At 39.4% G+C, this 12,981-nt stretch overlaps 1 long non-coding RNA gene across 3 annotated transcripts in view; it reads right to left on the bottom strand.

The window, feature by feature from the left end:
• The window catches only part of LOC105370504 (uncharacterized), a 402,142-nt gene that overhangs the window by 182,438 nt on the left and 206,723 nt on the right, over positions 1-12,981 (bottom strand). The gene's annotated exons all lie outside the window — the stretch shown is intronic.

The raw sequence follows: 12,981 nt of genomic DNA, 5'->3' as shown, positions 1-12,981 counted from the left end.
TATGTGTTAATTTTACAAATTGAAATTTTATTTATTAAGAAATTCCATGCACTCAGAAAGAGATGTGACTTGAACAGGCTAGCTTTGTTGAAAATGAGCAATCCAAATCTTTGAGAGATACAAGGACCAACTTTCCAGGCCAAGATGCCCCTTTAAGTAATGAAACAGTAGGATTTATTTTACTACTGAACGGTTAGGGATAGCCAAAATCTTATTCTGGGCCACAAGTCTATGACCTATTTAAAAGCTGAGAGACTTTGTACATTTCTGAGGTTAAACAAAGGGGCCTATGGTTCAAAAAAACGTACAGCAACGAAGCCCAGAGGCAAGGCCTGAGTAGTCGGGAACAGGCTGCAGGAATCCAGCTCTTCCCAACTTTGCTCATCTCTGTTGCTATTTTATTTAGTGAAGTTATCCTTAGTGACTAACTCAGAATCAACAGATCTTATGCAAGTGAATTCCTATCTGGGCTAACAAGAACCAGGGAGGTGGTACAAAAGAACACTGAAATCCTAGAGAAAAGGTCTATGGAAACATCAGCGATCTTTAATTCACTTTTCTCTTCCTCTAAGAACCTGCTTTTGTATTTCCCTTTCTCTCCTTTTCTTATTACTCCCCTTCATCAGTCATTCTTTTCTGTAGTCAGTTGGGTTACCACCCAAACCCACAGTGACACCTGCTGGCCAATTTGCAATGGTGAGCCTGAATCCTGCGAGGTCTTGCTTGGCCCACAGTAAGCAAGAGTCCATTGAGGCAAACACTAAATACTACACAATTCTTTTAGAAACTTAGACAGTGAGAAAAAAATTAAGTGAGCATTGCCAGGGAAGTTCAGGAATGGAGAATTTTGCAGAGAAAGCTGCCTGAACCATTACAAATGTAAAATGTATGTATTATAGGTGTTTTTACCTCATAAAAAATAGCCAAAAATATATCCGGTGCTGTGAGACAATTGTGAAGACTTAAGAAAATAGTTATGGTAATCACTCATGGAATGTCACTTTTTACATTGGTTTTCAGTAACTACACTTATAGTCCAAAAGGTTTTATATTAGCATTAATTTATATTAAGTCCCCCCCAAAAAACGCAGGAGAATATGTTGCACAAACATTTATTTCCTTTAAATATATTGATTAGAGCTCCAACACAAAGGGTTAAAAATTTAGGTTTAAGACTTTTTTTTCTGTTATTTCCCAAGGACTTCCAATTCTTGGTCAAGTTTCTTTACTGAAGAATATTCATATTTTGTTAATCCTAAGTATTTATACATTGGTTATTTTGGCTGGGTACATTTTTGAGGATGTTTGCTTTGTTTCAAGCAAATCCGTTCCTGACTGGAAAGTACAAATTCTAGCAAAAACAAAGACAACAGAAATATTTTTTAACATTAATACATTTTCTTAAAATATTTACACTTTTCATTTGAAGGTTAAATCCTAGGAATAATTCTCCATACACATGTTCATATTTGAAACAGGAGGTTGTCCCCAAGGACTTGTAGCAACAAATGTGTATTGGACAAAAATGTTGGCCTTCTTCATCCTTACTCTGTGTTCTAAAAGCCAAAACTTCATTTTAGCATGACCTTAGAAGAATAGTGATACTTTTAGAATTTCCTGGTATTTGGTGGAAGGAATGTTTTTATTTGACTGCAGATGTCACTTGGTTTACAGGAAGGATTTGGTAATGCATTCATGCCAGTACTGCACTTACCCCAGATTTCTTGCTATGTAGGAAGAACACATGTCAAAGCTCACTGTTTGTTAAATGGAAAAGATTCAGTACACCAGAAGCTTCTATTATAAACATTGTGACTTTGTGCAATTTACAAAATGTTCTATCTCCATTAAACAATAAACCCTTGACCCCAGAGCTCAGTTTTGGGATTCTGCGATTTGAGAAGGTAGACATAATGGATGGCAATAATAAATGAAAAGTTCAAGAGGTTAAGAAAAACTGTTTAATTATTTCTGTACAGCGTGGGCTGCAGAAAGCTTGCATGTCTGCCTTCTTCCTCATAGAAACACTGCATGGAAGAGATCCACCAGGGCAGCCCAGGCAGGGCATAAAAGCAGGTTGCGGTCCCTCAGCTGTGTTTATGAACAAATGATTTCTAGATACCCTTCCATCTCTGAATCTTTGCAGTTCCTGCCAGGGGAGATCCAGTGCCAGTCCCAGCGCTCAGCATCTGTTTTCCAAAGAGCTTGGATTTGTTAGCATGAGAAATTCATTGCTCACAGTTGCTCCCCAGCTGTGGCACTAGTGAGTGTAGCCTCTTTGCCTTATTTATTTGGAGAAAACATGTCCTCTCTTGGAGGTTCTCTTATATAACTAGTCCTGGACACAGGCCGCTGTGCTTTTAATCCCAGGCCCATTAAGCTGCCTTGTTAGTGAAAGAACTCCTCCACATTTGAATTTCACAAGGTTGGGATGTCCACATGAGGGCAGAACTTGGCGATTCCCAAGGCACCAAGCTCTAAACCAGATGTCTAAGAAATAAGGGAAGTCTATTAACTTGGGCCTTAATTGGAGAGATAATCTAGGGACAGGTCTCAGTGGAGCTTTGGAGGCCAGGTGAAAAGCCTTCCCAGAAGGAAATGACCAGAGCAGAGCTGCTAGGAATTCCTCGCAGGGTCCACACTGCATTCAGAGCAGGAGCTATCAAAGAATGCTTTGTAGGTCTAAACCCTGGATCTTAAGGATAGCAGACAAGCATTCTTGTTGTTGCCAGATGAATGTGAATTCTTTAGAGCTTCCTATCTCTCCACCCATCCCAAAAAATGTACAATAAATTGCTATCTGTCTTATTCCATCTAGACTTGCAGAAACCAGATAGGGGCAGCTGCTTAGATGACCCTTGGCTTCTGAACTCTAGAAGAAAAGCATTGTGAAAGCTGGGACATGGGAAAGGAAAAGAACTTGGCTTTGCTTTAATTTAGACACTGAGGATTTTTTCTTTAAAATCTGGGGAAAAAACCGTAGAAATCAAAACTTTAATGAAAGAATTATAGAATTTATTCAGTGTCTTAATATGGAAAACACTGTGACCAGCATTCCCCACAAAAGAGGGGAAACTGCCTTTTTTCCCAATGTTTGGATTACATGACAGGAGGTGGGCAGAACAATGAATAAGAACCAGAGCTTTGAGTGAGAAAGTTCTGGATTCCACTATTACCTAGGTGGGTAATGTTGGGGAAGTTATTTAAATTCTGTAAACTCCAGTTTTCTAATCTGTAAAATAGGGATAATAATAGTTCTGACCTCAGATTGTTGTAAGGATTAAATGACACAGTGCACCTAAGAAGACACAGAACCTAGGATCTGGCACTCTTCAGTCATTGCTGGCAGTGTCTTTTACAATTAAGCCATCAACTGTGACTAGAAAGTCCTCGAATTTAAAGCCAATCTTGACAAGACTCTGTGTGACCTAGAACAATTTTTTTCCCATTCCTTTGGTTCATTGGGATGAATAATAGAGTGGATGAAATGTTCCTTGTTTCCAATCTGTATGAGATTAAAGTAATCATTTCGATGGGAAAAGGCTATGCCCCAGAAACAGGTGCCTTTATTCTATTCTTATTCTGCACTGTACAGACAACCTCCTGACCAAAGAAAAATTGCAAACTCCATGGCCTCAGCACTAACTGAGACATATGGGAGAAGGGGCACGTGAGTAGACACACTGGGTACAGGCCATCTGGTCCCCAAGCAGAGAAAGCCTGGTTGAACCAAACTCAGAAGTAGGCTTGAGCAGAGTTTCTCAACTGCCATGCTCCTCCCATTCTGCACACTGGTATGCCTCAGATGGAGTGAGCCACAGCAGGAAGAAGAGGGGGCTGCCCAGGTGCAAAGCCAATGAGGCATGGACTTCAGGCACAAAACTTAAGAGGGCACCAAAAAACTCAGTAATCAAATAATATTTCAATACCGTACTTCAAAGGAAAATTTAATGTATAAAACCCCAGGTTGAGCAAAATATAATTTTAAATAAAGACAAGATTGTAGGGTTCAGAAGCACTTCAGAAGACACGGGCTGGAACTAACTTGGGGCTGTTGTTGCAACAGAAAAGATCTAAGTCTGACTGAGCTAAATGGGGTGCTAGAAGTCCTCAATGGAAAAGCCCATATATGTCCAAGGTCTGTTTCTGAAGGCCTTGCCCCCAGAAAGCCTTGTTCCCATCATTGCTTTATAGTAGACACATGGAAAGCTCCCCACTCTGTCTGGGAGATAATCTGAGAAGTATGCTCTGTACTTCTCTGGGTTCATTCAAAGAGAATTTTTACTTCCAGGTTCAAAGAAAAAAAATTGCTTATCAAAGAGCTCAAGAGATTTCTTGAACCCAGATCTAGTGTTTACCATGCAATATTTTGATGAATGAGAGTTAAATGATTCCAAAATACACGGATTAAATTTCCCTAGAATATACACGGTTTTGGAAAATGAAAGGAAAATGGTACTTTGAGCAAAATACATTTTTGGCTCTGCTGAACCCCAAATATTAAAAAAAAGAATATAAAGTTTGCCAAACCCCAAGTGCTTCTGGGCTCACATATTCTGGCTCTCTCCTTGAGAACACCTTTCTACCATCATTTTCCCCAGGCAGCTCTACTCACAACAGGAAGTCTGTAACTCAATTTCCCTTTCGTAAATAAAGGCATCTTTAAATGGTATAGACCTGACATCCACATCGGAAGGCAAGAAAAATATGGCAAATACAGTTCTTTGGGGTCTTGTCATCCACACAGGATCATCATACAATTAGGCAGTAGGATGGCAGGTGCTAACCTTGGGGGGACTCTGATTAAACAAACAGCACCGATTTTCATGTAATGTTACACTCCAGCACAAGGCCTTGGGAAAAGAGCAATGGCATCACCAGGATCCTGAGTTCTTACCGAAATCTAAGTATACAGATGAACTGTGAGCGCTGGTCTATCCAAATTTAAATATACGCACAAAATGCTCTTTTGCATAGGGGTATAGTCCATCTCTGGAGTTGCAATGCTGTGGCCGGGGGACCAAAGCAAATGAACTAAGTTTTGATGAAAACCATAAAGTTACATTTGGGAAAAATGTCTCGTTACACATATGTGACCATGTTTTCCTAATTCTCCTAGAGCAGGATTTGGAACAGGTATACAACAGACAGAAATTTTGTTTCCGAGTCAGAGAACGCAAGGCAGCCAACAAGAGCTAAAGACTCGCAGTGTTCTCAGGTTTACAAATGGGTTAGCAGGGCACAGTTGAGGTGTTTCCGTTTGTGGGTTTGTTTGCTTCACTCATTGGCGTGAGAAGCCAGGCACATTTCTTCAACTTTGGAAGCCACGAAGGAGTCCTATTCATTGGGGCTTGTGAATCAACAAAGAGGAATGGCATTTAATATTTATATATGTCTCATGTAGCCATTAAAAATCTTTTATGAGTGTGAAGCCATTATTAAAGCAAGATGGGTTCTGGGTCATGGACCCTTTCATGGCATTCCCATAGTGCTAATGAGACAAATAATATCTCCTCACAGTACAATGGCTGCCTCTAGCACTGAATTCAGTGTGCCTAGTGCAGTTAAAAATTCTAAAGGAAAAAAATTTACCATTAGAATTACCCTACCCTAAGAACTTTTTCCTTTTCATTGCCTGAACAAACAATGCAGTTTCTAGCTCAATTAAAACTAGGTTGGTGCGTGTGTGTGTGTGTGTGTTAGAGGGGCTGAGTAGAGACTATAGACTAAAGATGGCCAAATACATGGATATTAATAACACACATGAATGTCTGTTATCCACTGGACCACATGAAGTGTATCCCCAGGAGATATTTACCTTCATATATTTACAGATGACATTATGTTGCACCCTGATCTAAGTCATCCACTACTTCTAGAACAGCTGAAGAGAAGACAGAAGAAGGAAAGAAAAATGATGACAAAAGCATGGAAAGCTAACAAAAGAGGATAAACATACTGCATAGGAGAAATATGTGAATGAACACTGATGCTTTAAATTTTATATAGCAACTTGTTTGGGAAGATCTGCCTTACTTATGAGTGATATCTTACACTTGCCAAAATAAAAGTTTTATGATAGCCCCTTGCCAAACCATATTCTACCAAGAGAAGCAACCACACAAATGAAGAGTAAGATATACATGTAAATGCTCTCAAACACACTTCTTCCCCTTTACCATAAAGAAGATAGAGTTCTACATTCAGCTGCCATCAGAACATGGCATTCCCTACCAAGAGTAATTTAATGGCAACCAGCACGCTATGCGAATGAAACACAAATGTCTAGTGGTTTCCAGATCATATATTCAGCACAAAACTTCATTATAGCTTATTTTTATATCACACATAACAACTTTTTAGTTCCGTATTCATTAAAATGAATTAATAATAAAGGACTATATAATAAGGACTTCTGAGTTCTGATATTAGTGGCATCTGATTTTTTTATGGACATTGGTAACAAGGAAGAAAACAATTTCCAGTGGTTTTTCAACTACAGACATTCAGTTTTTCAACTACAGACATGTAGTCAAGGCATTCACAAGACATTTTTATGATTGGGAAATGGTAGTGGGAGGGTAACAATTACATTGGATATCCTCCAGTTAACTTATCTTGGTTTCTGTAATACTATTATCCATAGTGTCACAATATTCAACATAAGTTCATCAGGCTTCACTGATGTTGTCAAGGCTCATTTGGCCATAAGGGGCAGAGGCAGTTCATTCAAGGTGCCCCAAGATAAGAGACATGGGTAAACCGAAATTGGAAGCGAAAGCAGTCAGGAACTGAGGTGGCTTTTGTGTGAGTCTGTGTATAAACTTGTATGCGTGTGTGTGTGTCTGTCTGTCTTTCTTCCTTTTTCTCACGAACTGCATGGAGCACTACTCACACCTTCTCAGTGCATCACTGCTTTGTTCTCCCTATTCTCTTGATCTTCATCCTCATAATTTCAGCCTGTCATTGCTGTCCTAGTTCCAAGTCTACTTTGTGGCCTTTCAAATCAGTTTCCAAAGCTAACCTGCCCAGTCTCTGAATTTCCCCAATTCTAAATTTCAACAGGAGAGCTAAGAGACAGAGAGAGAGAGTGTGTGTGTCTCATCTTTCCCACCCAGACGCCACTGCTGGTGGCCATCAGCAAGCCTAGGCTATCCTCGAATCACACGTGTCCCATCAATCCACCCAGGTCTCACCAGGCCATGGAGTGACTGATTTTGTAGGGGCCGTGAGGGGAGAGAACCAAGCCAGCTCACAACACGGCATGAAAATGGCTAAACATGATACCAGTAAGCCCCTCCCATCAGTGAGGACACAGGAGCAGACACAGAACATGTGGCAGCAGCTGTGCTTCCAACAATGGGAGACTCCATTTTCACTTCAATCTGGAAACAATTCAGAGGGAAAAGTCTTCTCTTCTCTATATATTTTTTATTACAAGAAAAAAATCTCACACTATGAGAGTGCACAGAAAAAAAAGAGAGAAGTCGCTCCCTGCTAATAAGTAGCTACAGGAAGCATTTTTCAGACTGAATAGATAAAGCAAGGTATTGTTGGAAATAAAATTGGTTAAAACTAAACAGCAACAATGACAACAAAACCACACCTCAAATAAACTTGGAGCAAATGCTCTCAGGGCCCTGATATGTGGAAATGACAATGCCAGAATAGTTCATGAAAGAATAAGTTCACTCAGAAGAGAAGCAATAGCCGCTAAAGGACCTAAAAGAAGAAATTTAATTTCAAGAAGATGCTGCTGTTAGTATCTGTCACCATTTTCAGTATCAGTTTTAATGTATTTTATTAGCTACTCTGGGGTTTTCAACAACCCTTAGTGAGAAGGGATTTAGAAAAGAAAGTTTAAACCCAGCTGTGTTCTTGCTGATCATTTGTTACCCATGATTATGCATACATTAACTAGATGTATAATAAACTATGCACAATTTTCAACCCATAGCAGAACTTACATGCACATCTCTCTTGTTCATTTAATCTGAAAATAGATACTTTTGTGACTGCTTATCTGAAGAGCTTTGAGCAAATAGGGAAACTGCACAGCAAGTCCGTTCATAGTTTTCTTTCAAAATGTTGTTTTAAGCAATTCCTAGTCCCTATTATCTTCTCACCCATCTCCCCACACATCTCAAACAAAGGAACAAAAATGACCAGAAATCTTGTTGTTCCCAATTCTGCTCCCAAACCACCATAGAACAAGAAGAAAGTGGGTTACCCAACTGACTCTAACAGAATATATGTCAATCCATTGTGGCTGTTTTTTTCATGACTTTAAAGATTGTGTTCAGTATAAATTCATTCAATAACGTCTGAAATCTTCCTTGATAGCATTGGAACTACAATTCTAAAGCTTTACAATGGTGGTGAGATAGCATGCCTGGATTATTTCCCCAGGGCCTAGTACAGTGTTTGACACAAGGTTATGATGCAATCAATATTTTTTGAATGACTCAATTAATTATTGATAGTAGGCAGGAATGGAGAAAAGGACAAAGGGAGGTAAGGGTCACTAATCACATTTATGCAGGATTTTCTTCCAATCCTGTTAAGTATTATACTAGCAGAAGCCAATCTGGGATGCTTTACTAAACACAGCTATTATATCATGCTAAATGACAGACAGATAACTTATAAGTTATTTCAATCTAAAAGCAAGACACAAAAATGGCAGTACTTCTTGTCCTCATTGTAGGCAGTGAGTAGTTCTGAGGCTCTAGAATCATTCTCAAACATGTCAGCCTTTACCAGTTGAAGTTTTGGAAATTACTCAGGTAACACTAAAAAGTGACTTGATACAGAATCAGAGATTTTAGAACTGAAAAATGATGGTGTTAATTAGGATTGATGACCCTGACCATCTGATTACTGTTTGTAATTTCATCATTTGAGTTGTAATTCACTGCCTATTAGCTCATATCAATGTCTGGTTATAAAAGTGTTCATAATGTTTACAATGAGAGGCCTTGGTGATTACAGTCCCATAAATGTGTGAATAATTGAGAGGTTATGCTGCAGCACACGCCTCATCAAGCTTCCTTTTCAAGTCTCAAGTACATATTTAAAGCTCAACACTAGAATTCAATTATACTTGAATTGCCAGCAAGAAAAAAAAGAGCTAAATTAACAAAGCTGTCAAAAACACTCTCTGCTTTAAACTTACTGGGACAACTGGACAATGGAAATAGTTCACCCATTTAAGGGTTGATTTCATCTGGTAAAGATTTATTGAGTTTCTTTCTTGGTCCCCAAGAAGATAGATGGAAAGTCAATCCTGATAAAATAGTTTGCAAAATTGACTGGATTGCTAGATGTATATAGCAGATTTGGTAAAATCAGTATAGAGAGAAGTGAACAGTTTATGTATGACCCAACAAGATCATGTTACAGTGGTCTCAATAAATTAGAATGGACCCAGCAATAAAATAATTTGGTACAGTGCGCACTATTCAAAGAGTACAATTAAGTACCTACCATCTCTGCTTTGACTCCACAAGGTAAGGGTCTGTAGTTTGGAAATGAAACTAACCCAACGCGTGTGAAAGAGTTCTATTCTTCTCCACTAATAAAAATACATTTCACGTAATACTCTTTTAAAGGATAATTCAAGTTTCTGGGATAACTCCAAACTGTTCTTAAATGAAAATGTCTTATAAAAAAAGTGTGATGAGATTTCAAAAATAATTACCACCAAAATTCAGACTTGATTAAAACTCTAAGTTGTATTTATTTTTAATATGACATATTTTGTAAGCTGTACAATGGGCCAAGCGAAGATAATCTTGGACTACTCCTTTTATGCTAGGTTTTTTTTAACTTAACCCTTTTTTTCTTTTGAGACAGAGTCTCACTCTGTCGCCCAGGCTGGAGTACAGTGGTATGGTCTTGGCTCACTCCAACCTCCACCTACTGGATTCAAGGGATCCTCCTGCCTCAGCCCCCGGAGTAGCCAGGACTACAGGAGCATGCCACCACACACAGCTAATTTTTGTATTTTTGTAGAGATGGGGTTTCTCCATGTTGGCAAGGCTGGTCTCAAACTCCTGGGGTCAAGTGACCTGCCTGCCTCAGCCTCCCAAAGTGCTGGGATTACAGGTGTGAGCCACTGCACCTGGCCAATTTAAATCATATTTGAAACACCATCCACAGACACACTTGATAAATACCTTATTCTGAATCCCATAGTTATGTAAAATAATCCTTACCACTCAAAATAGAATAGACTTCTTTTGCCCTGGAATCACCCACTTATGTGGTTCCCATTTTAAAACATCTAGAGGCCAGAAAGGGGGTTGGGGGGCTGAAAAGAAAAAAACAAAAGAATATAAATGTATTTTTACTACTGAATTGTACACTTAAAAATGGTAAAGATGGTAAATTTTATATGTACATTTTACCTCTATAATAAAGAAATAAAAATTTTTTAAAAATTTAACACATTCCTTGATTTACCTGAAGTTGTTCTCAGCACCTTACCTTAGATGTTAGAATCTTAGTGCTGTAAAGAAGCATAATGTCAAACTCATCCCATTCTCTCATTACAAAGAGAAGGGAACAAAGGCTTGGAGAGTTTAGTGACTCATCCAAGGCACATAGAGCCATGCAGTGGCAAAGCATGTACGGCCGTCCAGCTCTCTGATCTTTGCTCTGATTTTTTTCTGTGACATCATTTATTAACACCAGATGCCCTTCAGAAGCCACCACCATTTTTTTTCCCTCCCGTGTATAGTCTACTGAAGAAAAATAGTAATTCAATTTAAAAAGCATTTCTGTGTACCTACATGCATGGCACTCTACAAGGTAAGGTGGGCAGGCCCAAAGCCAACTAAGACTAGGCTCCTCTCTGCAGGGGAAGACAGACATGCTCCCGGATGACCATCATCCATAGTCGCTAACCTCCCGTAAGAGCTGACACAGACATGACCCATGCTAGGAAGGCACAGGAGTTAATGGAGTCATTACAGATTAGAAGACCTAAGAATGCTTTGAGAAGTAGGTGACAGGGTGGATGAGGAAGATTTTGGCAGGTGGCATGGTATTCATTCTGGGAAATTAGTTTATTCTGCCAGACTTGTTCAATTTTAATTCATTAAAAAATGGAATCTAAAAATATAGTAGACCATATCCAGTTGATGGATGGTGGCTTGGAATGTTACTACTGACTTAACAGGTAAGCTGGCAGACCACTAAATGTACATTTATCTACATAGCTTTGTCCAAGTTATTTGTATAAATAAATCTGTCCCCAATACAATACTTTAATTTTATAATGGGGCATTAAGGGCAGACATTTTATCCATTTTATGGATTTTTAACATGAGAATCAAAGAGATTGAAGACTTATCCACAGAAACATGGCTGGCAAGTGGCAGAACTAAAGTTAAAGCCCGTTTCTCCTCTGCCTTTTCCCTGCATTTACATACCACCATGTTGTCTTTACAATTTTACTGCTTTTAAATCCTTTTTTATGTGCATTGAATAAGGTCACGAACTTTCAGAATACCACTACAAAACCAATTTTGATAAATCAGATATAGCTGTTACACACAGTGGACTCACCCACAACCCACCATCACAACTGTGATCAGCAACCTAATGTGATCGGGCAGTATCCTCTAGACATGGCCCATCAGACATGACATACATACTCGCCTTCTTTCCTAAGAAAACTGGAAACACCTGGATCATGTTAGGTCACTTCTTGGTTTCTACAGCTGGATTTTATGCTTCTCCCCTCTTAAGGAGTTGACAATCTGGAAAAAATCTTGATATTCAGCCAAGAAAACAAGAGCCTTTTGAACACAGACATTTCTATATGTTCTGGCAAAGGAGTGGGGAGAGTGAGATGGAAATTATTCCTTATGGTGTATAAATAAAAATGTGGGCAGTAAGAAAGATCGGTCATGACCTTCCAGTAAGGATATGTGAAGCAAGAAAAACCAGCCCATTTTCCTTCTAAACAATCCTCTTCAGCATAACAAGTGGCTGCATTACGCAAGGGCCTTGGTCAGTAGTGCCCAGTGAACAGTAACTTCCAGCCTCCTGTGTTTCAACTGAACCATCTGCTGTGTGGGTCCACACAGCTGGGCTCTGCTCAGTGGTTCCTCCACCCTCTCTCAAAGAGACACTTGAGAATCTCCTCTCTCCAGGCAGAGGGCAGGGGATCAGGGGTGGGGTGGCCCTGCTTACTCTTGTAGCATACTGTTTCTCTGGTTGAAAAAGCTTCTGATGTAAAATTAGTCATCAATTTAGCTATTTTTTTCCACGAGCCTCAACTCTGGCTTTCTCAATATAACGTGTAGATGTAAAATATCCAAACCATGGGGAGAACTGCATTTTCCAGGACATAAATATTAAAGCCAGCAACATTCAGAGCAAATTTGGCATTAACCAAATATCACATCCCTACCCAGGCTATAAGCTGAAAAGTCACCATATTGAAAACAAGAAGAGGGAGTTTCCTACCCAAGGGAACACAAACTACTCCAAAACTGAGTGTGAAATAAGGACGCGTTGGCCTTTTGCTTATGGCAAGAACAGGCTAAGGTGTATGTGTGTGTGGAGTGGGAAATGCTGCTTTGCATTTACTAATTGTGAAACACATGCATCAGCCAGCAGAGACAAAGCCCAGGTGTGAGGGCAAATTCTACCTGCTGCTGACTGATTTCATTGATCAAATTGGTTATCTACATATGTTTATTTCCCATCGATGTGTATTTCAGTGCTTGCGAGCAGCTAGAGATACAAAGATGGGTGTGTCCCTTGTTAAAAGTCTCTTTCCACATGTGCAGTCCTGGTCATACATCTGATCTACCCCAATGCTGTGCTTTTCATCTATTTCACTACGCCTGGCTGATGGCCATTAAAGGCAGGTCCCAAGCTCCAGCTTCATTCTTGCAGTTGTCCAAAACATTCTCCTATTGCTCCTGATCTCACGTCCTTCTGGTTTCACCCAGCTCCTAACTCTTG

Source organism: Homo sapiens, chromosome 14 (assembly GCF_000001405.40).
Source record: "Homo sapiens chromosome 14, GRCh38.p14 Primary Assembly".
NCBI lineage: Eukaryota > Metazoa > Chordata > Mammalia > Primates > Hominidae > Homo > Homo sapiens.
The sequence above is the reverse complement of the archived record's forward strand: the minus strand, read 5'-3'. Positions and strand labels throughout refer to the sequence as shown.